The following is a 25,630-nucleotide window of genomic DNA, read 5'->3' as shown; positions in this document are numbered from 1 at the left end:
CCACCTCCTTTATCAAATCTTTCTAAATTCCATTATCCAGAGGCATACTTATACTTATTTCCTTTGGCACTTCTTTTTCAGCACTTTGTGGCTATCATTTGCTTTAAAGAAAAACACTACGCAGTAAGTTCCTTTAGTGTTTGGCTTCTAAAATTTTGTATGTGCTAGAAGATGCTCAAAAATGTTGGTTAATTAGAATCATATCTATGTGACAATAATATTACTAGTGATAATAAAAGCTAACTTTTATTGAGTGTTTTCAGGGTGTTGAGTCCTGTGCTAAACACTTTTTATTGATTGTCTCATTTAATCTTCTCGACAACACTGTGAAAAACACACCATTAATATCTCAATTTTACTGATAACAAAACTAAGGTCCTAGAAGGCAAATAACTTGTCCAAGTTTGCATGGTTATTTAGCAGCAGAGCCAGGATTTCAATGTAGAACCATCTGGCTGTCAAGCCTATGTTCTTAGTCATTTTGCTATAATTTCTTTTCTCTGAATTTGCACTTTCTAGTGCCAGCCATAGATGGGATATGAATCTCATGATCTTTGGACGCTTTACCAACTGGCCTTGGCCAAAGTTTCCAAGGTAGAAAACAACAAGTTTTACCTTTTCCAGCTGGGACCACTGATCCAACACATCCTTTGCAAAATTAAAGTTCTGAGAAACTGCTTGGACTAGGCACCTGGAGTCAGGGGGTCTGATGGTCTGAGTAGCACATTTTTGGTTTGGATAGCAGCAGGCTTCAAATCCCAGTCTGAAACTCCGGACCAAGGAGAAGGGTTGAAATCGGCCTAGCATTTGGGTCAGACAGGGAACCACCTAGGTAAATTGAGGAAAAGACAGGGAGTAATTGAGCAGCTCAGAGGGATAATCACTGAGATTGTAGTGCTGAGAATGAATCCATAAGGCAAACAATTTCCTTATGAGTACAAGCAACAGTCAGATCATTGGAGAAGAAGCCCATGAGCACAGATACTTACCAATTCCAAGAGGAGTTTCTATGGGGGGCTTCAGATGTTTGGAGGATGGTAGAGCTGTTGCCTTCTGTCTCCTCTGAGAACTGCTTACCTCTTATAGTTTAGTTGCCGGCTCTGGGGAAAAAGGCATTTCCTTGGTGCCAGCACAAACTAAGTCCTGGCTCACTTTCATTGGCTCTCAAGCCTAAAAGGCAATCTCTTTTGCTTCTGGGAGATAAAATCTATGGGCTGTGAGCTAAGTTGAAGCAACAGGTGTGCCTTGCTTTCTGATATGATGTCAGGAGAAATAGGTCACAGACTACTGTGCCAAGTGTGGTGAAAAGATGATGGACACAGAGTTTAAATAAGATTTTGTTGCTTACAAAATCCTGCACTGCAGAAAGGGAGAAGGGGGTTGCTCATCAGCCAGGTGAGGTAACCACACCCTGCCTCTTTAACCCACTGAGATGACAGGCCTTTTTTTTTTTTTTTTTTTTTTTTTTAAATAAATAGGCACATCGAAGGCCCTCTAGGGATTGCCTCTCGAGGTAGTGTAGGTGAAAGTCTCGTACTCAAGGTAGTGTAGGTGAAAGTCTTGCAACAATCAGGTAGGGAGCCAGATCTCATGATCCTCAGCGGGGGGCGGTGGGAGGGTCCACCTTGGAGCCTCAAATTAGCAAAACTAAAATTTGAAAGGGGGTGTGTATAACATATATTTAAAAGAGGTCACAATATTTGTTTAATAAAATATTGAAGATTTATTGTTTTGATAAGATTTTAACTTTATTTATAACTGTGTGAGGTGTAACTTGGTTACTGGTGGTTGAAGTTCTTCATCACAATTCCTATCCATGTTTCCAGTCGCCAGAGGGAGTAAAATAATGTAAGCTTTGGATGATGGGTTCACTTATTCGCATTCCAGAAATCTGAGATTTAATGGTTTCAATTTGATGATATTAACATTGTAACTATATCTAATATTAGAACTAAAATATTCCAATAAATTATCTAGTCCAAGTACTGCCTAAAACATCACGCTGCCTTTAAGATGAATAAACTCCTTATTGTGGTGCATTGGTTAGATATAAGTTTGGCTGCTTCAACAAAGACACAAAATAGTAAATTTGTTTCTTCAATTGACAGTCTGAGCATATGCAGTGAAAAGCTGTTTGTATTAGTCAGGGTTCTCCAGAAAAACAGAACCAATAGGAAATAGAGAAATAAAGATGAATATAGATACAGATATGTGAGAGGGACTTACTAGGGGAATTAGCTCATGTGATTATGGAGGCTGAGAAGTCCTATGGTGTAAGCTGAAGAACAAGAGAAGTTGGTAGTGTGGCTTAGTCCAAGTTTGAAATCTTTAGAACCAGGGAAGCCAATGGCCTAACTCTCAATTTGAGGCTGAAGGGCTGAGAACCTGAAGTTCTGATATCCAAGGGCAGGAGAATAAGGGTGTTCCAGTTCCAGGAGGGGGAGAGGTAGATAGACACACACACACACACACACACACACGGAAAGAGAGAGAAATTTTCCCTTTCTCAGCTTTTCATTGCATCTAGGCCCTCAGCCAATAAGATGGCGCCTACCACATTGAGGGTGGATCTTTCCCACTCAATCCACCTACTCACACACCAATATCCTTCAGAAGCACCCTCACAGGCACATCAAGAAATGAATACTTTACCAGATATCTAGGTATCTCTGAATCCAGTCAAGTTGACACCTAAAATCATCCATCACACTGGTTTAGTATCTTCACCCTTTCAGGGACCCAGATTCTTTCTGTAACGTTGCTCCACCATCTTTAGGGCATTTCTGAAACAACTTGCCATCACGTCCATATTCCATCCAGTGGGACGGGAGAGTGGTGAGGGGAAGAACATTCCCCTTGCCTAGGTGAATAACTAGAAATTTTTACACATTACCTCTGCTCATATTCCATTGGCGCAGACTTAAGTTATGTGGCTTCAGAAAGAGTCTGGGAACTGTGATCTTTATTCTGAGTGCCTATATGCTCAACTAAGAACTGGAGATTCCATATGCATGAGAGAGATGTGGGCATGAATACTGAGAGACAACTAGCATTTTCCATCACAGTCTATTCATTGACTATCCATGAACACAACATGGAACAGTTTTCCCATTTATAGAATATTCTCCAAGAAGCATAACCTCTAAGTCTCACAGAATTGCTACATCTAACTCAAAATTCAAGATGGAGGGTATTGCTCAGTTCTCTTCAACCAACAGGGATGGGGTCCCTGCCATATGGCAAACTAGAAACTAAAACATAAGTTATCTCTACTCTCCAAACAACCCACTCTTTAGGTCTGAAGTGGGAACCATAAAATTGCATGGAAAACTCCAAGACTGGAAAGAGAAAAATGAGCATTACCCAGCTGACTTGGGCCCAGCAATACCCAGTTGTCAAATCCTGCTGGGCAGGAATGGTGAAAGCATACATCCTGGCAGTGTTTGGGTTCTCAGCTCACTTGGCAAGTACTAATTCTGCTTTCTGGGAGGCAATCTCACCTTTGCTGTCATCTCGATATTTGGCTTGCCTTCTGGAAAGCCATTTCTTGTTTGTGATCCTCTTTGGCCATATCTGAAGTGGCACTGGTGAATATGCCCTTCTTGAGGACAGCATGGCTTTTGTAGCCCACCTCATGCTGGTACAGAACTGGGGTCTCAGGAGTTCTATTATGGGTCAAACTAGTCTATGTATCAGAAAGTCCAGACTTACGAGTATTTTTTTTTGTCATACAATTTCCTCAAGCATTTGGCTTCTGGTCTACTTTCCTTAGATAAATTCCATGTGTAAATAGACATAATCAAATATTTTGTCAAAACATAGCTTGCAGGCCTGGAAAGTATGATCTTCTATATACTGGCTTCTGGGCTTCACCAATCCTCCCTACTAACTTAATGGTAGCTACTTTGGGGCAATTCAAAATTATAGGTTTGGGTAAAATGGGAATGTAACCAGTTTCCCTTTAGGTTTGCTGTATGGAGAAGGTGACTGAGAAATCCTAGGTACATTGTCCTGCTAAAACTATCTCTATTTCTTTTATAAATGTTTTATGATTTTCAGTTTACAAGTCCTTCAGCTCTGTGGTTAAATTTATTTCTAAATATCTTAATTTATTTTTCATGCTCTTGTAAGTGGAATGGTTTCCTTGATTTCTTTTTCAGATAGTTTGTTTTTAGTGTATAGAAACACCACTAATTTTTGTATGTTAGTTTTATCTCCTGCAGCATTACTGAATTGGTTTATTAGTTCTAACAGGTTTTTGGTGAAGTCTTTAGGTTTTCTCTATATAAGATCATGTTTTCTACAAACATTGGCAATCTAACTTCTTTCATTTTGATTTGGAGGCCTTGTATTTCTTTTTCTTGCCTAGTTGCTCTGGTTAAAATTAACAGTGTTATGTTGATAGCAATGGTGAGAGTGGGCATTATTGTCTTGCTCCTGATCTTAGGGAAAAGCTAGTTGACTGTAATGTTAGCTGTAGGCTTGTATATATGGGTTTTATTATTTTGAGGTACATATATGTACCTTCTATATGTAATTTGTTGAGAGTGTTTAATGTGAAGGATGTTGAATTTGTCAATGCTTTTTCTACATCTGAGATGATCATATGGTTTTTGTTCTTCATTTTGCTAATACAGTGTATCATATTTATGTAAAATTTTATCAAAGGCAAAAGAATTCCATAGTGACAGAGAACAGATAATTAGTTGCCTGGAACAGGGGAGAAGCAGTTGGATTGCAAAGAGGGACAAAGAGTACATTTTGAGGGTTATGAAAATATCCCATATCTTGATTATGGTGATGGCTATTACTGATATAACTTAAAAATTAATAAGCTATTTTCATTTTTTAAAAGTGATAAGAAATCAGAAAAATGTAATACCAAGTCCAAAGATAAACTCTATACCAAAAATGCATTCAAATGAGTAAAAATCAAAGATTTAAAACATTATATAATCTGCATTTTCAAAGAAAATGGTATTTTCTGAGCATAATACTACATAATCAATCTAGAAATTTTGGTAATAGACATGTATTGGGAAAAGGAAAGGAAAATTATCTTGGTCCCTGTGAATAGGTGTTTACAGTATTTTGTGGTATTTTTATGTAGCAGTTTTTCACTCTACGGGCAGAGCATATATACTTTTAATTATACTATATAGAAACTCCTGGTTTCTGCTTTCTTTTATCTGACATTAGCTCAAGATTAGTGTCTGTATCCTAAAATGTCTTTGAAACATGTGAATTTTAAGAACTGCCTAATAGTCCACCTTAAGGGTGTAAAATAATTTAATAATTCTCCTACTACGTATAATTTAGATTATTGTATACTTTCACAATAATAAATAATGTCCTCCTATAAGTTCTTTGAATGCACAACTGGTTATTTTGCTAGGGTAGATTGCCAGAGATGAAACTATACTGAAAAAAGGATATGAATATTTTAAAGCCTTCGAAGATATATTTTATTATTCAGTTGCCTTTTAGGATGCCTGTGAGAATTCACGGTACCGCTAACAGTATGCAAAAAAGCCCACTGACTACTAAATATATGCTATTGCTTTTTTTTGATAGAAAGGATTTCTTTCTTTCTTAATAGAAGGAATGTGTACATTGAAGTTTTAAAATTGAGATTATACAGTTGTCTTACTCACTGAGGTCTTTACTAAAAGGTTATTTTACAAGTTTGCTTTGATTTCAAACATAAATTAGTGTTCATGTTAGTAACTTGATGGGAAACAAAAAGAGGGCCTAGGTTTTCTTTTGAACATACATGAATTGTCTGGGTTAAATCCTTTGGGAAATATCCCAATATACATCCAACCAGTATGAAAGAATGGAAAAATTTTAAAAATGCAAATAATGATCAAAATTTTATATTGAAAAAATAATATAGAAATACATTATAGATGTAACAAAAAAACAGGTGGCCATTATTATAGTTGTACTGGGATTATTCCATTAATCCATGCTTCTAATACCATTTCAGTTTTTGTTCAACATTCACTTTCATTTTGAAACAAGGCACATAATGTAAGATTTTTAAGTATATAAAAGACTTCATACTAGAGGATTTTTGTATATTATACGATTAAAACTCTGAAAATAGAAGCTTATTAGAAACACAATCCCAAATAATCACCACTAAGAATTCACCTTCATGTTTCATAGTATTGCATCTAAACCAATTAATAGCAGCTATAAAATTCTTATGAAAAAAGATATAAAATTTCTGGAACATATTATCATCAGAAAAAAGACAAACATACTGTTTTACAAAGACTAGATTTTACAGGTATTTTAGGAGACAGTAAACTCATAATGTATACTGATCCACATTCAAGCATTAGTTTCTTGCATATAAAACCTCTCTGAACTCTTAAAACACTTATCTTCAGCACTCACTGCTAAGGCATGTAAAGTGTGTACTTTTGGGAAAAATATGCTGTCCTTGAGCAGCCACTTTCTGAATGGGAGCAGTAGCTCTGAGCACAATGATTAAAGATGGGGATCAAATGGACAAGAAGGACAAAGGCCATTTTGTCACTACTTGGGAAAGCATTCCCAGTCATGGTCACTCTGGTTCCATCTGGCAACTGTCTGGACACAGATAACCATAGTGGACTCTCCTACCTAGATTAGATCCAACAGGGCCACAAAAGCTGCAGGTCTCATGGTGGTTGTCTGAACTCTGAGAAACTGAAAAGTACAGCAGAGCGAAGATACACAAACAATTAATTTGAAAGCTAAGAAGAGAGAATTTAAAATTTCCTAAGGTATCAGGCTTGAAAATGAGAGGGGAGACGGAGAGAAAATATACTTTTCTCTATGAAAAAACTTAAATAAGAGAATATGGAAAGGGAAAGAAATAAAAAATATATGAAGAAGGGTGAGATATAAACCTTTTTAACCTTTGAGACCACAGGTCATAGCATTCTTTACATGTGGTAGTGTCACATTTTTATGATATACCACATAGTGTAGTGTCAAACAGTGTGCCATACATTCTACCACGTACTACACATTCTACCACATGTGGTACACTCCATTCTTATACATTCTTATACATGTGGTAGTTTCACATTTCTTGCACCCTCACAAATAATTTTACAGAATCTTAGACTGTCAACATTGGAAGTAATCTTTATGTTGAACCCCTTATCCAGTGTTTAACTGTACTGATATAGATCAACCTCAGCAAGGAATTACTAATTTGATTTAAAAAGACATGTAGGTATTATTTCAGTGGGACAAATTCTGCTCAAGTGATGCACAAAATACATGGAAATATGAGCTGCTGCCAATACGGAAATATCCTATAGGATAGGTCAACAGACAAGACCCAGTTCTTTCCCTTACAAAACCTGTGACTTTCTAGAGGAGGCAAATTTATAACAAATTACCTGCAATTTAAGGCAATGAACTCAAATGCCCCATAAGCAGTATAAACAAAGTGCCACTGAAACACTTGCAGAGTGTACAGATTCCTTCTGGCTAATCTTGAAGATCAGAGCTACTTAACAGCGTGAAGGATAAGAGTTGGTCTCAGTCATAATCCTAAGCAAATTAATACAGGAATAGAAAAACCTAATACCGCACTTTCTCACTTATAAGTGGGAGCTAAACATAGAGCATCCATTGACATAAACATGGGAACAGTAGACACAGTGTACTAGAGTGGGGAAGGAGGGAGAGGAGCGTGGGTTGAAAAACGACCTACTGAGTACTATGCTCACTACTTAATTGCAGTATACCCATGTAACAAACCTGCACATGTACTCCCTGTATCTAAAATAAAAGTTAAAAAAAAAGTCCTCAGAAGGCTCAGGGGAATTTTGAGAGGCGAATGCGGCCATGAGCAAGGGTGGAGGTGGGAAATGCAAGACAGCTTAATTTATCCAAATGCTCAAAGATGCTAGGAAAAGAGAGGTTAGATGACCTATGAAAAATGCAGCCAAGATAGAAGCAACAACAACAACCAACAACAAAACCCCCAAAACTCTAAGAATAAACGTTTTCAAGACATTTGCCCTTTTAAAAGACTCAAAGGAAACAGAATAGGTTCTTTTGATTGGAAGTATTCAATTGGCCTAACACTGCCTAAATGATAGGGTTGTTCCTGAACACTGGACCTTTCCAGATCCCTCCATAGGTATCTGGGCCATGGTGATCAGAAGAAATTTATTAATACTTATCTTAATGGGAAGTGTCTGATCAACTCCCTTTTTCTCTTTCTCTCTCCCTGCCTTGGGTAAATCAAGAGATGACAAGTGACACATTTCACAAAGGAAATGACAATAATAATTCACCTCCTGGTCATATGTGATTCCCCCACTACAAACATTCCAGCAGAATATAGCCATTTATTTTGGTATCTGATGGGTTTCTTAGGGCTCTCATCAAACTGGCTGAACAGGGAATCCCTAGGGGCAGCCTGCCAGAGAAGAAGAAAAGGGATGACCCAGATGTTGCTAAAAATCAACAAACTCGAAATAACAGAGTGCAAAAGACATTTCACTTTTTTTCCGTAAGTTATAGGGGGTACAGGTGGTATTTGGTTACACAGACTAGTGCTAAAACCAACGATTAAGTATTAGTGTTCTTGGAGCTGTCAAGCTTTCACAAACATAAATAATGTACTCATAGGGAAACAAGGTTCACACAGGTTGGACCCCAAACTTGCAGAACTTGAAACAGGATCTTGCAGAGGGCTTCCAAGAATGCCCATGATGATTATTAAATAAGATTCCTTATGTTTTAAAAAACAACTTTATTGAAATAGAACTCATATAGCATACAACTTCCCCATTTCAGGCATACAATTCAATGGCTTTTAGTATATTCACAAATCCTTTTTTTTTCATATATATGTACCACACTTTATCCGTTCATCCGTTGATACTTAGGTTGATTTCATATTTTGGCTGTTGTGAATAGTGCTGCAATAAACTGGGAGTGCAGATGTCTCTTCGACATACTGATTTTCTTTCTTGTAGGCATATACCCAGCAGTGGGATTGCTGAATCATATGATAGTTCTATTTTTAGTTCTTTGAGGAACCTCCATGCAGTTTTCCATAGTGGATAAACTATTTTATGTTCCTACGAAGAGTGTTTGAGCGCTCCCATTTCTCTGTGTCCTTTTCAGCATTTGTTATTTTCTGAGTTTTTGACAATTGCCATTTTAATTGAGGTTAAATTATATTTTATTGTGGTTTTGATTTGGATTTATCTGATGATTAGTGATGTTAAACATGTTTGCATATAACTGTTGGCCATTTGTGTATCTTCTCTTGGGAAATGTCTATTGAAATCTTTTGCCCATTTTTAAATTGGATTATTTGGAATTTTTGTTTTTGAGTTCTTACGTATTCTTGTTAGTGATCCCTTGTTGGATGAATAGTTTGGAAAATTTTTCTCCCATTCTGTGGGTTGTCTCTTCACTTTATTTTTATTTTTATTGATGTGAAGAAGCTTTTTAGCTTGATGTAATTCTATTTATCAATTTTTGCATTCGTTACCCGTGCTTTTGAGGTCTTACTCAGGAAATCTTTGCCTAGACCAGTGTTCTAAAGTATTTCCCCTATGTTTTCTTCTAGTAGTTTCATAGTTTCCTACATGTAAGTTTTTAATTCATTTTGATTTGATTTTTATATATGATGAGGCATAGAAGTCTAGTTTTATTCTTCACGTGTCTCATTTTCCCAGTACCATTTATTGAAGAGACCATCTGTTTCCCAAGGTATGTTCCTGGTGCCTTGGTCAAAAATGAGTTGGTTGTAAATGCAAGGATTTATTTCTGGGTTCTCCATTCTGTTTCACTGGGCCGTGAAATCCTTACTTTTCGATATTATAAGTCACCATTTTCAGCTTTCCATCCTGTCAACCTTGCTGTATTTGGGCCAAGCAGGGCATGCAGGACCCAGAACTTGGTGTGGACAGGTGGGGCCAGAGCCCCTGTAGGCTGCTCAAGAAATCTGCACTGAGGTCTGCAGGGAGGACCAAATCCCCATAGATGATTCCACAAAAACACTGTTAGGTAAACCACAGTGTGAAACAGCTTGAGAAATAGAATCTGTGTCATATCCAACATTTACTCACACTCATAACTGCATGAGCGGGATACTTGAGCAGGAGGACCCAGAAGAACACCCTCTTCACCTGCATGTCCAGGTCCCCTTTGTGTCACCTAGGGCAAGAGGCTGGAAGGAGAGGCATCTGGGATAGGGGCAGGCTATGGTCGGGGCAGTGGGGTGGTAGGACCTGGACAGTGGGGGTGGTGGGGTTAGTGAAAGGTCTGGGGCAGGGCAGAGATCAGGAGGAACAGCATTCCAGCAGGGCTGGGAGACATGTCAGTAGGTTGGCAGACACAGGAGCAGGTGGCCTGGGACTCAGAGGAGCAGCTGGAGTTGGAGGAGAAGGGCTCTGTTTTCCTCCAGTCTTCTGCTTGGCTGCTGCATTAGCACCCCACTGCACCCCCAACACTCGTCTCTCCCTTGCCCTCACTTCCTGAGTCTTAAAACCAATTCCTTCATCCCCAGCATGCACCTTCCTAAGGACAGTTCCCCTCTGGATCCTTCCTAAGGTTCTAACTATTTATTTATTTATTGAGACAAGGCTTGCTCTGTCGCCCAGGCAGGAGTGCAGTGGCACCATCTCGGCTCACTGCAACCTCCGCCTCCCGGGTTCAAGCAATTCTCCTGCCTCAGCACACCCTAGTAGCTAGGATTACAGGCGCGCGCCACCACGCCCGGCTATTTTTTTGTATTTTATTTAGAGACGGGGCTTTGCCATGTTGGCCAGACTGGTCTCGAACTCCTGACGTCAGATGATCTACTCGCCTCTGAGCTTCTGATTTTTAATCCTTCCTAGCCCAGCTCCCCGCCATCCCCCCACCCCCGCCGTCCCCCCATTCTGCCTCACTTCCTCCTTTCCTGATTCCCACAATTTCCCACAATCAGTCTTGGCCTCAGATTCCCACCCTTCAGGTGCCAGGGTTCCTTGGGTCCTCCATCTCCCCTGATCCTCTCTGATTAGGGGCACGGGGTGTGAGTTGGAATTAAAGCCAGCGTTTGAGTCCTGGGGCTGGATTCTGCATTGGGTTCCGTTGTGTCATTGCACCTTCTCGTTTCCGCTCTTTCTGCCCTGCTTCCTCATCTTCAAAGTCATCTAAGATCCGCCAGCGGATGCTGACCCAGCCCGTGGAGCGCCGCTTCTCCGCACCTGCTGCTTCTCCATCTCTCCATCTTCTGCTCCTGGCCTTTTCCTGGCACTGGAGCCCGAGCTCTGAGCTCTTGCCCTTCTCTGGGGCCCCGTCCTGCTCCTCCTCGTCACCCTGGGGCGGCGGCCGGGGCCCCACGGGTCAGCGTGGCAGGGCCGACGGCGCAGTTCTCGCCCCGGGGCGGCGGCGGCGGCAGGTGCGGTGGGAGCGCCGCCTGGAGGTTGGTGTGGCGCTCATTGGTCGCGGAGGCCGCCGAGGTGTCCAGCGCCCAGGACCTGGGCTTCCTGTCTGCGTCGCTGCTGCCCCCTGCTGGGGCGGCGGGGCCCGGGTTCCGCTCTGCGGCGTGTTTTTGCGGGGCGCCTTCGCTCCTCCGGGAAGTCGGCGGTGCAGCCGCGGAGGCCGTTGTTGCTCTGGTAGCCGGTGGTTGTTTCATTCCCCTAGGGGCCGGCCGGGCTTTCGCCTCAGGCCGCCCACACCGGCTCCGGCCGCCGCCGCCTCTCGCTACCCGCGGCCCGGAGGAGGCGAGGGAACGACCTCCAGGCGCAGGGCGGCCGCCGCTCCCTCAGCAGCCGGCGGGGCAGAGGGAAAGACGCCGGGAAGCGTAAGGTCCCCGCCAGGCCCGAGGGTCGCCACGGACTTTGCCCTCTGGTTCCTGCCCAGGAGCAGCTGCCAGGTCCCCTCCCTGCCAAGCTTCTCCCCGAAAAGTTCTAAGGTTGTCAGGTCCGCCAGGAAGTGACATTTTTCTCCCCTCACTGTAAGGCTGGAAACTCTTGAATCCGGGCATTTTATGCATATTCTTAAATATGATGTTTCAGTCAAAGCCTTGATAATATAACCAATATTTCCGATTTTATCCTGCTTATAAAGAGCCGATATGTAAACGAAAATTAGAATATTTGTGAATAGTTTCCAAATTTTGGAGGGATCAAGTAGGGAGAAAAACCAAATGCTTCCACCTTTGTTTACAAGTGTGCTTTACCAAACTGATGTAAATTATAGATAACATCTGTGAGAAACCTTTCTTAAATCTAGAATACAACCAACAGTGTTTTAAATAAAAGTTATAAAAATATTATCTTAATTTCATAGATTTTTTGTTTTGCTTGATCTTGCTTAGCAGTTTTTTGAACCCTTAAGTTTATTAGAGTTCTAGGAATTTGTGTTTAGTTTATTTTTTTAAAACATTTGTTTTAATATATTTAAAGGGTATAAGTACAAGTTTCTTACATGCCTATATTGCATAGTGGTAAAGGCTGGGGTAGTTTATTGATCTGAAAGTTATCAGAAACCTGTGTTCAAGAGGACCTGTTAAGAGTTTTTTCCATGAAAAGCAAATTTGGACTATCGCTGATCGCAAATATTTTTCGAATTCAAAGCAGAACTGTGGATGATGGAAACAGAATAGCTATGATGAAAATCTGATGAAAGTTCCCAATTGACAAGGAAATTTAGTTACTTCTCTTACGTGCAGCATGTTAAGACAATAACCAGAATCATGACTGACAGCATCACATCAGGACCACCAGGCTTTTATAAATTTCATACAATCTTCAGAATGCATTAATAACATATTTATACAAATGTAACTTTAGCAAATATTTAGCGTAACAATCAAAATTATGAATCATTAAATTTTTATAAGTTTATATAATTTTTGGAACATGCGTGTCAATAACATACCTATAAATGTAACTGAAGTGGGATCTAATATCACATAATTTGACAATGCTCTCCCATGCAGTATCACAACATTTGACAATGCCCGCTCATACAGTCTACCAAATCTAATAATTTAATATCTCTACAAGGTGAGAGATCCATTCTTTAGACTCTCCAGGGACCCAGCTGAACAGTCCCGAAGTTAATTTTAAGACTTAATTTAGGATTTTTGACTCTGGGGAAACCTGTCAAAGATTGAAAACATTTGATCAAAACAGAATCACAGGTCACTGTTAAAAGAATAGTCATTTAACCAGAGACTTAAAAGCTATACAGAAAGTTATGTGGATATGAAAACTCGAACCCTTTTAAAGCTTAGTTTTCCTGAGTAATCAAAAAGGGTACTTGAATTTAATCAGACACAGGAAGAGTATGTACGGGGATATGAGTGTACACTGTATTTTAGAGGAATGTAAACAAGGAAATTAGTACCATGAGCCAGGGAATACATGGCTGTTAGTAACAGCATGGGAAGTTTCCTGGTTACATGGAACAACAATTTAGACATAGGAAGAAAAGCCAAAAGTACAGATTCAAGTTATGTTGGAGGAAAACATTGGTTTTCCAGACCTTCATGCTAACCATTTCAGTGTCAGGCCATAACAGCAGAACTAGAACCAGAGAAAAAATGTTACAGGAGTTGACAAAAATGTTGAAAGACAGAGCTACCACTGTTACCATTGTGGCCATGCAAAAAGATACACCTTTTTAAAGGGGGAGAAAACAGAAGGCAGTGGTTTATGACCTGCAATGTGGTACAGAGAAAGTTGAATTTCGGATATAAATCTGAGAAGTTTGAAAAAGAAAAATGTTACCTCTAGAAATGAAATGGCCATTCTGAAAGAAAGACACCGCATTTCCAATCTGAAACTAGGGAAGTTAGTTAGATCTCAGGAAGAATTAGAACTAGTTTAAATCTTCTATTAAATAAGATTTTAGAATTAAAAATAAAACCTCTTAAAATTTTACTAAGAGCAAATCAGTAAGCAAACTGTCATTCTAACATAGGGGACCAACTTATTTTGTTGTTTTGTATTAATGTATTTTAATGTCAAATTTCAATCTTTAGAAAGACTTCTGTTACCAAAATTACATCTTAATATCCATAACTTTCTTTACATCTGTCTCCTACTTACTAGTTCTTTTCTAGCTACTGTGAAACAACTTTTAAATGATCCCCAAATTCGATAAAAATATTCTTTTTCTCAATAAAATGTATTTTTTATGACTTTCTAATAATTTTTTTCTCACCAAGAACGCCTTATTTTTTGGCACATTGTATATATAGAATTATATGTACTAATTAAAAATTTTAACTCTTAGTAACCTTAAATTTTAGTGAAAATTTCCTTAATTTTTTAAGACGGAATCTCACTCTGTTGCCGAGGCTGGAGTGCAGTGGCATGATCTTGGCTCACTGCAACCTCCGCCTCCCGGGTTCAAGTGATTCTCCCACCTCGGCCTCCCAAGTAGCTGGGATTATGGGCATGCGCCACCACACCTGGCTAATTTTTTGTATTTTTGGTAAAGATGGGGCTTTGCCATGTTGGCCAGGCTGGTCTGGAACTCCTGACCTCAGATGATCTGCCCGCCTCAGCCTCCCAAAGTGCTGAGATTACAGAAATTTTATTTTTGTAATAAAAATAATTGTGAACCACCATGCCTAGCTGAAAGTAAGAAATTTTAAATTGTCTGTCACCTATCAGTATTTTATAGATAAGAACCATTTTATAATTTTTACAAACATATTCCCTAATATATATATATATATAATACACACACACACTTTTTTTTTTTTTCTTTTTTGAGACAGGGTCTGGCTCTGTCACCTGTGCTGGAGTGCAGTGGCACAGTCTCAGTTCACTGTAACCTTTGCTTTCTGGGCTCTAGTAATTCTTCGATTTCAGCCTCTCGAGTAGCTGGGACTACAGGCGTATGCAACCAGATCTGGTTAATTTTTGTATTTTTTTGTGGAGACTGGGTTTTGCTATGTTGCCCAGCCTGGTCTCGAACTCCTGAGCTCAAGCGATCCACCCAACTTGGCCTTCCAAAGTACTGAGATTACAGATGTGAGCCCCGGCCCACAGTGTGAGCCATGGCCCCTGGTCCCCTAGAACATAACTTTAAAATCTTATTTGGAAATGACCTACACATTTAATTAGTATCTATTATTTAATGTAACTTTAAGACATCAAGTTACATGAAAACTTTATAGACATTTTTCTCATTTACATTTAATTTTCTAACATTTACCTGGATTACCAGTGAGAACTGGGATATTAGACAAAACTCGATCTCATTTCAAGTTATTTCCCTGTTAATCATTTTTACAGCTTGTGAATATCAATGTTCACCTGATTAAGGACCTTGAAGTTAAATGTAGGAGCATGTTCCCAACAACTCAGAAGATACAGCTGTTTTTATTAAAGCAACAGTATTAAGTTAGTTTTGCTTATCAAATAATTATACAAAAATCACTTTGTTTTAGCCTGGGCTTACAGTTGTATAACCTTCATGTGAAACCCTGACACCTTAAAATATCTATCGGAGACAAATATTAAAGTAACCAGTAAACCCAGGCAGAAATATATGCTGACAATTCTAAAGACATTTTTATTTTTACCAATAATTTAAAAATGAGCTTCAGTAAATAAATAAAATCAAATAATAAAAATAAAATAATAATAAAAAGATTTATTTAAGTCATGTGAACTAAAAGGCATTTGGTAATTATTATATATTTTGTACTTTATATGAGTACTCATTTATCTTTAAGGAATTTCTGGCTGACTATGCCAGATTTCACCATGTAGACATAATATGTAACATGATACATGTGCTTCTATATGAACACATCTAAACACATATGTATACACACAAAAAATAAAAATCTCATCGCTTTTATTTTAGAATTTTGGTTGTGAGATAGTAATACAAACTCACTGGCTGATAAAACATTTGGACCCAAATTATATTTCTGACAAAATTGGGACCTGTTTACATATAGAGGCTAAACTTTATTTGCCCTAATAGATAATCTGGTGAAGGCTGTGGATTTTGGGTAAAGCAGTTTTCACAGCAGTTTGAGTAAAAAAAAAAAAAAAAAAAAAAAAGCCTTTCACCCTTTTCTCTGCCTTTGTTCAGTTTCTAATAAATTTATGGTTAAATTGTCAATGTGTACATTTTAACTAGGACTGGTGGAATAGTGTAAGAAAGAACAAAATCTCCAAGTAGCATTGAATTAGTAACCAGTCTATCTTTTGTTTGCTGATTTAGTTTGCTTGGTTAGCAAATGTGGGCAAAAGAATTTTAGTAGTTTCTTTTTTCTCTCCGCTTTTACATTTTGGCTTCTGTGTGGCAACAAAAGCAAACATTTTTTTTGCTGGACAGAGATAACATATTATTGCTCTGAGCTTAAGATTTTGACCTGTTTGATCTAAGAGCCTAACTTTTGTAAACACTTACCTAGTTCCTTTTCTTTTAGATTATTAATTTTTAAGTAAGTTAAGTGTTTTATCACTGTACATAATTGTAAGACAAATCTAAATGTGTATTTATAAAGGTATCTAGGTTGTTGCTCACCATGGAGCCATTGTAACTTGTAAAGCCATTAACTTAAAAGCCCTTTAAGACTTATTTTTAAAAATTTTTAGCTGGAATGCCATAAGCAATGAGTTTTATATTAACAACACTAGAAAAGTCAGCTGATTCAGAGTAGGCAGGAAAAAAACAGAGATAGAGAACGTAGAAGACTCTGTTAACTCTATACTTGTAGGTTTTTGAATAATGACCATTTGAACACTGAACATTTCTTAATGTGATTTGCCCACAGTTTTGAAATGTGCACAAGAGCAGGCTGTAATATGTAGCTGTCTAGAGTGTCAGAAAACCTGTCATCCCTTAATGTTTGAGAATACCACTCAGTTCCTTGTTAATCTCTTGAGAGCAAAGAAAATTCTATAAATCCTATCAGGGAATGTCAGGAGTTTACATGGGTATTTTAGATGGTGGTGACTTCACTGGTGACTTTTAACTAGTCATTCTGCAAGGGAAAAGAGTCCAACCAAATCAAAAGAAAGCAAGATAAAAGTGTTTGCAAAAATTTTGACATAGGCATGCACACAGAATTAAATATTAAACTAGGCATGCAAACCAGAGAAAACATACAGGCAGAATGTAAATTCTGTAGACACTAAGAGTACTCAGTCCAGAAGGACACTTGTCTTTATACCAGAAAGGACCTACCAGAAAAGACAAAAAGTATTTTATCATCCCTGGATGGATGTATGATCTTTTACTAAGGCAGCATTATCCCAACCAAATCCCAAGTCAAGTGAAAAAGCCTCTACCAATAGGAAAAAGGCTTAATCTAAGAGAACACTCACCAGGAAAGAAAAGGTGAGCCATGAAAGTGAAAAGGTCAAAGAGCCCGAGTGTGTGCTCCACACAGGTTACAGGAATCACTGATTCCTTCCAATGGTGATCTTGTTCAAATCCCACTCCTGACACCGTGTATATAAACCTAGACACCAAACAGAGAGAGGCTCTCTAAGACAAAAAATACTTATTTGGGAATAAAGTGTTGCAGTGAGAATACACCTGTCATATTAAACATGTGTGCACTCACAGAGGTAAAGGAAGACACAGGTTTTTACATAACATGAGGAGGATTACTTAATTGTTTTGGAAATAATTATACTTGGCTACAAAGATCAATAGAAAGTGTGTTCAGTCCAAGGTTGGAGAGGCAGTTGCTGGGCAGATGTCCTTGTAGAAGTATTTCTTGTGTACTTGCAAAAGGTTGTGGGTTTTGCAGTCTTTCTGTGATAATTTTTGTTATTAGGCATACAAGCATGAAAACTTTATGGCCTTTGCTGGCTCTATTAGAATTTTTAAAAAATTAGTAACTCCATTTAAAATAATTTATTTAAATAGGTTTTGGGGGGGAACAGGTGGTGTTTGGTTACATGAATAAGTTCTTTAGTGGTGATTTCTTAGATTTTGGTGCACCCATCACCCGAGCAGTGTACTCTGTACTCAATATGTTGTTTTGTTCCTCAGCCTTCTCCCACCCTTTCCCTCAAGTCCCCAAAGTTTATTGTATTATTCTTATGCCTTTGCATCCTCATAGCTTAGTTCCCACTTGTGAGTGAGAACATATGATGTTTGGTTTTCCATTCCTGAGTTACTTGACTTAGAAAAATGGATTAAAATTAGTGGCTCTGTTTTTTTTAATTTTTATTTATTTTTTATTATACTTTAAGTTTTAGGGTACATGTGCACAATGTGCAGGTTAGTTACATATGTATACATGTGCCATGTTGGTGTGCTGCACCCATTAACTCATCATTTAACATTATTACACTTAAACCTGCTAGCAAGCTTACTAAGGCAGCCTTATCCCAACCAAATCCTAAGTCAAGTGAAAAAGCCTGTACCAATAGGAAGAAGGCGTAATCTAAGAGAACACTCACCAGGAAAGGAAAGGTGAGCCATGAAAGTGAAAAGGTCAAAGAGCCCAACTGTGTGCTCCATATAGGTTCCAGGAATCACTGATTCCTTCCAATGGTGATCTTGTTCAAATCCCACTCCTGACACCATATATATATAAACCTAGATACCAAACAGAGAGAGGCTCTCTAAGACAGGTCTTTATAGTTTGGGCCCATGGCACAGGCAGGTCACAGGTCTCTGGCTCCCTTTGACCTTTACCCACCTTGCCAAGGGAAAATGTGACCCTCCAAAGCAAGAAACTTGAGGGTATGTGTCACCCCAGCCCTGGCATCTGCCCAGAGCCTGAGAAGGAAGGAACAGTGATCCTTCAGCTACCTCATAGGGCTGGCACAGGTGGTCACTGCCCTGTTGATCACCCAGCTGTGTTGGGCAACCTGGACCCCATCTGCGGGGATGTGAGGAGGAAAATACAAAAGTCTTTAGGTGGCCACTAAGAAGGCAGATGTAGGAGAAACCTCCAGTCCTTAACTACCCAGTGTTGGACCTGGGGTGGAAAGAGAACATAGTTGGCGATCATATGCACTTACACTCTAGGGTCACAAGCTGGCACTGTAGCCTTGTGTGTGGCTCTGAAAATGAAGACTTGGAAGGAGATCATCACAGCTAATATTTAACAAGCCCCTACTATGTGCCAAATTATTAATTCCTTGCAACAACCTAATAAGCTAGTGATTCTTATTATGTATATTTTATAGAGAAGGAAACAGAGACATAAAGAGGTGGATTAACTTTCCCAGATCACACAGCTAATAAGTGGTAAAGGAGAAGAGAATCTAAACAGTGTGGCTCCGGAGCACACATTCATTGATTCAGCAAGTGTTTATTGAGCACCCGCCATATAAAAAGCCTTGTGCGATTAAGCAGGGTTATAATTAATGATATAAAAATTACAAATCACTAGCACTTTCTAGAGTTAACATTTTCTTGTTTTGTAGGTTTTAGGCACAGAACTGTATAGACAATAATAGTGAAATTGATCCCACTACTAATAATGACAGGAATAATCATACATTTAAGCAAGTTGGATGTTTTATATGTTTTATCTCATGAAATATTGACAGAAACTGAATGAAAAATGAAACTTTATTTTTCCCATTTCACACAGAAGGAAATTGAGGTTAAGAGGGGTAAAGTAATTTTGCATGGCATGAAGTAGAAATTTGAAGTACAGGGATGTGAAATTGATCTTGTTCTTTTCTGAAGCCCCCATGCTTTTGAGCACTGTAGACTCAAACATCACCTTGTTTTTCCACTCATTCAACAAACATTTTCTTTTAAGCAAATCAATAAACATAATCCAGCATATAAACAGAACCAATGACAAAAACCGTATGATTATCTCAATAGATGCAGAAAAGGCCTTTGACAAAATACAACGACCCTTCATGCTAAAAACTCTCAATAAATTAGGTATTGATGGGACATATCTCAAAATAATAAGAGTTTATCTATGACAAACACACAGCCAATATCATAATGAATGGGCAAAAACTGGAAGCATTCCCTTTGAAAACTGGCACAAGACAGGGATGCCCTCTCTCACCACTCCTATTCAACATAGTGTTGGAAGTTCTGGCCAAGGCAATCAGGCAGGAGAAGGAAATAAAGGGGATTCAATTAGGAAAAGAGGAAGTCAAATTGTCCCTGTTTGCAGATGACATGATTGTATAGCTAGAAAACCCCATCATCTCAGCCCAAAATCTCCTTAAGCTGATAGGCACCTTCAGCAAAGTCTCAGGATACAAAATCAATGTGCAAAAATCACAAGCATTCTTATACACCAATAACAGGCAAACAGAGAGCCAAATCATGAGTGAACTCCCATTCACAACTGCTTCAAAGAGAATAAAATACCTAGGAATCCAACTTACAAGGGATGTGAAGGACCACTTCAAGGAGAACTACAAACCACTGCTCAAGGAAATAAAAGAGGATACAAACAAATGGAAGAACATTCCATGCTCATGGGTAGGAAGAATCAATAACGTGAAAATGGCCATACTGCCCAAGGTAATTTATAGATTCAATGCCATCCCCATTAAGCTACCAATGACTTTCTTCACAGAATTGGAAAAAACTACTTTAAAGTTCATATGGAACCAAAATGCGCCCACATTGCCAAGTCAATCCTAAGCCAAAAGAACAAAGCTGGAGGCATCACGCTACCTGACTTCAAACTATACTACAAGGCTACAGTAACCAAAACAGCATGGTACTGGTACCAAAACGGATAGACCAATGGAACAGAACAGAGCCCTCAGAAATAATGCCGCATATCTACAACCATCTGATCTTTGACAAACCTGACAAAACAAGCAATGGGGAAAGGATTCCCTATTTGATAAATGGTGCTGGGAAAACTGGCTAGCCATATGTAGGAAGCTGAAACTGGATCCCTTCCTTACACCTTATACAAAAATTAATCCAAGATGGATCAAAGACTTAAATGTTAGACATAAAACCATAAAAACCCTAGAAGAAAACCTAGGCAATACCATTCAGGACATAGGCATGGACAAGGACTTCATGTCTAAAACACCAAAAGCAATGGCAACAAAAGCCAAAATTGACAAATGGGATCTAATTAAACTAAAGAGCTTCTGCACAGCAAAAGAAACTACTATGAGAGTGAACAGGCAACCTACAGAATGGGAGAAAATTTTTGCAATCTACTCATCTGACAAAGGGCTAATATCCAGAATTTACAATGAACTCAAACAAATCTACAAGAAAAAAACAAACAACCCCATCAAAAAGTGGGCAAAGGATATGAACAGACACTTCTCAAGAGAAGACATTTATGCAGCCAAAAGACACATGAAAAAATGCTCATCATCACTGGCCATCAGAGAAATGCAAATCAAAACCACAGTGAGATACCATCTCACACCAGTTAGAATGGCAATCATTAAAAAGTCAGGAAACAACAGGTGCTGGAGAGGATGTGGAGAAATAGGAACACTTTTACACTGTTGGTGGGACTATAAACTAGTTCAACCATTGTGGAAGTCAGTGTGGCGATTCCTCAGGGATCTTGAACTAGAAATACCATTTGACCCAGCCATCCCATTACTGGTATATACCCAAAGGATTATAAATCATGCTGCTATAAAAACACATGCACATGTATGTTTATAGCAGCACTATTCACAATAGCAAAGACTTGGAACCAACCCAAATGTCCAACTATGATAGACTGGATTAAGAAAATGTGGCACATAGACACCATGGAATACTATGCAGCCATAAAAAATGATGAGTTCATGTCCTTTGTAGGGACTTGGATGAAGCCGGAAACTATCATTCTCAGCAAACTATCACAAGGACAAAAAACCAAACACCGCATATTCTCACTCATAGGTGGGAATTGAACAATGAGAACACATGGATACAGGAAGGGGAACATCACACACCAGGGCCTGTTGTGGGGTGGGGGAGGAGGGAGGGATAGATAGCATTAGGAGATATAGCTAATGTTAAATGACGAGTTGTTGGGTGCAGCACACCAACATGGCACATGTATACGTATGTAACAAACCTGCACGTTGTGCACATGTACCCTAAAACTTAAGGTATAATAAAAAAAGGGGAAAAAAAATAAAATTATCTAATAGGCTGGCACTCATTATGTGCCTCTGTTCCCATTCTGCAGGTGGTGAAGCCCCCTAATGTCCTGACTCCACAGTTCCTGTCCCATGACCAGGGCCAGCTCACCAAAGAGCTATAGCAGCACATAAAGTCAGTGACAGGCCCATGCAAGTACCAAAGGAAGGTGAGTGAGCACAGACAGATGGGGCCTGGTGCCCTTGAGCAGTTTCTGACTTTCAGCTGCCCTGTGTCTCATAGCGTGGCCATGCTGGGGGAAGCTTAGGCAGTCACAGTACTGGCCTTTTCCTCCTTTTTCATTCCATCTGAGTGGCTTAGGGATGGGGTGGATGAAAACCACTGTCTTGTGTCAGAAACCCAAAAGGAATCATTGCTGGCATGTTAAGCTAAAGAAAAACAACCAGACAAGTGCCCAACAGTACTTAAAAAGTTATAATCCTGCAAAATTCAAAAAGGGAAATCCAAATAAGCAGCTTCTAAACTATTTTTAAACATTACAATAAAAATACCTTCCATATTGCATATATATGTGCTTATATGAATAATAGAATTAACAAAACATAGTTATTTTATAACATGTAATACATTCTTATTTTTAATTCTCTTTCATTTGTTTTAAATGCTGTGTGCAATCTACAAAAAGTTCAATAGTAATAATTAAATTATTCATTAAATTGAGCATTACTTGTAATTTAAAATGATAATCTTAAACACAATCTTATTTTTGAGATAAAAATATTTTAGCAATATACTATTAAGAGAAAAACACTGGCTATGAAAGAATTTACATAGTTTCATCCTATCTGTTTGAAAATAAAGTTTGGAAGAATACATTTGAAAAATAGTTAACATTTCCTTTTTTGTAGTACTTTGCGGCATTGTCTAAATATTGACAGTCAATACACATTATGAAGTTACATGGTTAACGTTGATTGAGTACTCACTGTGTGTGCCAGGCCCTGGGCTCAGTGCTCTGTGTGCATTTTTATTTTATTTAATCCTCTCCACAATGTGAGATAGTATAGCCAACTCATGTTACAGAGGTGAAACAGGCTCAGAGATTGAAAGTTAAATGCCTGAGGTTGCAGTCAATAAGAGGAAGAGCTGTAACTGAAACCTATGTGTGTCTGACGAGCAGTTCATGTTCTGATGGTAGGCTAGTCTGCTTAACAGAGTGTGGAATAGATGGTGCATGCATACTAGGATGGGCTAGATACCACTGTGGGTCACAAACAGTCTTAAACAATGGAGGTTGTTTTCCTGCTCATGCTGCACGTCCATCATGGCTCTCCTGGGCCCTGTGCACCACATCTTCTTATCCTGCTGCCAGGGTAAAGGAGCAGCCTCCATGTGGAACCTGTCAGGTGCTCTCGGAGATAGAGAAGAGGGTGTCCAGTCTCAATGGCTCCCAACTCTTCTGCCTCAAGGTGACATGCTTCGCTTCCACTCACTTTTGGGTCAAAGCAAATCACATGGCTACACCCAACTTAAACGGCCCACGTGGAGAAGCTGAAATACTCAGTGGACACCATTAAGGCCACCATATGGTGTTAGCCTGTGTGGGAGACTGTGGAGGGGCAGAGGAGGAGAGTAGGGGATTGGTAGGAAATGACAGCAGGACTAAGTCACCACAGATTTGCTTTATCTTCAGCCAGGTGGAGTTTGTCCCAGAGCTGCCAAAAACCGTCACTGGCAAGATTAAACGGGAACTTCAAGTTTGGTCAGATGTAGTCAGCAGTGAACTCAGAAATGACTGAATGACATTGAGTCAGTAAATCCCTGACTGCCTCAGTTACCCCACATGATAGTGGTGAGGATGGGAGCATTGAAAGAGTTGATTTGGAAGGATATCAGGAGTGTGAAAATTCCAACATTTTACTTCAAGTTAAATCCAGGCACTATCCTTCCTGCAAGTCCCCTGTTTCTTTCAGATTGCACAGGTGAGAGTGCTCAGATTAGGGCTGTAGGTTATAAAATATTGGCTCCCACATGAACAGTTCCCCTGTGTCGTGTTTGTATTCTGAGCATTTTTCTGTGCTAAACACTTCCCCAAAACATCCTGGGTCCTGATTCTTCCTCCTTGTTCTGTCAGTGCTGGGTGACGCAAGTGCCCATTTTTTGGCCAGGACACAGAAGTCTCAGAGGGATGCTCTGTGAGGCCCCAGGTGCCAGCCTCTGCCCTGCTGGAATGTGAGGCAAGGGACAGGGCATCTTCTGTGAGGGGGCAGTGGTCAGCCAGCTTGGTGACTATGCTTGCTTATCAGACCATCCCACACCTGCCACCTCTGATGAATCTACTGCCTCTGTGCCTGCCTGTACTGCTGATACAGGACTCACTCAGCTGTCCCCAGGCGTGCCCAGACTTTCATTCCTATCCAGAACCTAGGAGTCCTGCCCACTGGCCCTCCCTCATCAGCAGTAAATGATGATTTACTGCTGTTATCATCATGACTGCCTTTAGCATCTGAGAACTTTCCAGGGTGCCAGCTCTGGAAGGACAGATGCCCTTGGGAGGTGCTGACACTCAGGTACACAGGTGCTCAACAGATTTCTTCCTCCTGTCCTCAGACAGTCTTTGCATGTAGCCATTGGCACTCCCATTGTATGGAAGGAAACCAGCCCAGGGTCACACAGCTGGTCAGCAGCACAGCTGGTCTCAAATCCAAGGTGCTTGGCCTTGCCTCCATGAGGGACCTGCCTGTGAGGTTGACACTGGCTTTGGGGAGCCTTTCCTGGGCTGCATAAATAACCTACCCTGTTTGAGGCCCCAAACTCTGCTCATATTGCCCTCCTTTCCTTATGTCTACTTGGGCTATAATCAAGGTGACCCCAGCAACCCTTCACGGACATTATGGTAATCTGTGCCGTTCACTTTTGTGCAGATCTGACTTCAACCCCCTCTTGGTCTCTCCTTTTACAAGCAAGACAACTGAAACTGGGGGTCTTTATGCAGGTGACAGTATACAAATATAATTTCATTGTTTTGTTATCTGTGTTTTGTTTTTGTCATGCTTGTTTCTTAGGATTTCTTTCCATTTATGGTAAAGGCATTGGCTTTCTATTTGTAGCCTCAATGGAATATTTCCTGTTTATAATAACTTTATGTCATAATAAATGGTAAAGGGATTTAAAGAAGTGGTTTTAAGCTGCTAGAAGCCTGGGTGAGTTTGGGCACACTCTGTGCAATCAGGCAGAAGAAGGCCTTTGGGAGGTTTAGCTGAAGACAGGACCAGGAAAGGTGATGGCCAGTGGGGGTCTGTCCTGGTCACCGGGCCCCTAGGTCCTGCCCAATTGCTTGGTACTCCCCACCCATTACTCCTGGTGCTGCCTGGCCCTCTGGGTATTGTGGCCAAATCTCCCAGGAGAGAAGCTGATGAACTTCGTCACTTGAAATGCACAGATTCCTTGGTCATACCTGGGAAGTCAATCATGAGAGTCAACTTGGTTTTCCTCCCCTCATTAGGGTTCAAAATTTAAAGCCCATGGTCACAGGCAGTAAGATGACATAGATAAGTGACATCATCACCCCATTTCAGATGTTAAAATGTCTAGGTGGGTTAGAAATGATTTG

The 25,630-nt window shown here is 39.7% G+C and overlaps 1 protein-coding gene, 1 long non-coding RNA gene and 1 pseudogene across 4 annotated transcripts in view, besides 3 other annotated features; 1 reads left to right on the top strand and 2 right to left on the bottom strand.

Annotated features, from left to right (window-relative positions):
- The window catches only part of ACSM6 (acyl-CoA synthetase medium chain family member 6), a 34,692-nt gene extending 33,637 nt beyond the window's left edge, over positions 1-1,055 (bottom strand). For 2 of the 3 annotated variants that reach the window (NM_207321.3, XM_047424638.1), the window contains exons 1-2: positions 990-1,055; positions 616-828 (exon numbers count right to left, since the gene is read on the bottom strand). In NM_207321.3, the coding sequence (NP_997204.2) occupies positions 616-807 (192 nt within the window). In that variant the 5' untranslated portion in view covers positions 808-828; positions 990-1,055. Of the gene's footprint in view, positions 1-615 lie in introns of all 3 variants that reach the window. The other variant, XM_047424639.1, reaches the window with a different exon arrangement.
- LOC107984257 (uncharacterized) overlaps positions 1-25,630 on the top strand; it is a 125,247-nt gene that overhangs the window by 33,486 nt on the left and 66,131 nt on the right. Inside the window, exon 4 of the long non-coding RNA XR_007062253.1 lies at positions 22,106-25,012. This is a non-coding gene — a long non-coding RNA (uncharacterized LOC107984257). The remainder of the gene's footprint in view (positions 1-22,105; positions 25,013-25,630) is intronic.
- Positions 11,070-11,119: a silencer, noted in NCBI's record as "silent region_2639". NCBI's record gives its function as "represses an Ori minimal core promoter by ATAC-STARR-seq in GM12878 lymphoblastoid cells {active_cell/tissue: GM12878}" and the evidence as "EXISTENCE:reporter gene assay evidence [ECO:0000049][PMID:35858748]".
- Positions 11,074-11,645, bottom strand: PAWRP1 (pro-apoptotic WT1 regulator pseudogene 1; annotated as a pseudogene).
- Positions 11,140-11,469: a silencer, noted in NCBI's record as "silent region_2638". NCBI's record gives its function as "represses an Ori minimal core promoter by ATAC-STARR-seq in GM12878 lymphoblastoid cells {active_cell/tissue: GM12878}" and the evidence as "EXISTENCE:reporter gene assay evidence [ECO:0000049][PMID:35858748]".
- Positions 11,660-11,959: a silencer, noted in NCBI's record as "silent region_2637". NCBI's record gives its function as "represses an Ori minimal core promoter by ATAC-STARR-seq in GM12878 lymphoblastoid cells {active_cell/tissue: GM12878}" and the evidence as "EXISTENCE:reporter gene assay evidence [ECO:0000049][PMID:35858748]".

The sequence above is a fragment of the Homo sapiens genome, chromosome 10 (assembly GCF_000001405.40).
Source record: "Homo sapiens chromosome 10, GRCh38.p14 Primary Assembly".
NCBI lineage: Eukaryota > Metazoa > Chordata > Mammalia > Primates > Hominidae > Homo > Homo sapiens.
The sequence above is the reverse complement of the archived record's forward strand: the minus strand, read 5'-3'. Positions and strand labels throughout refer to the sequence as shown.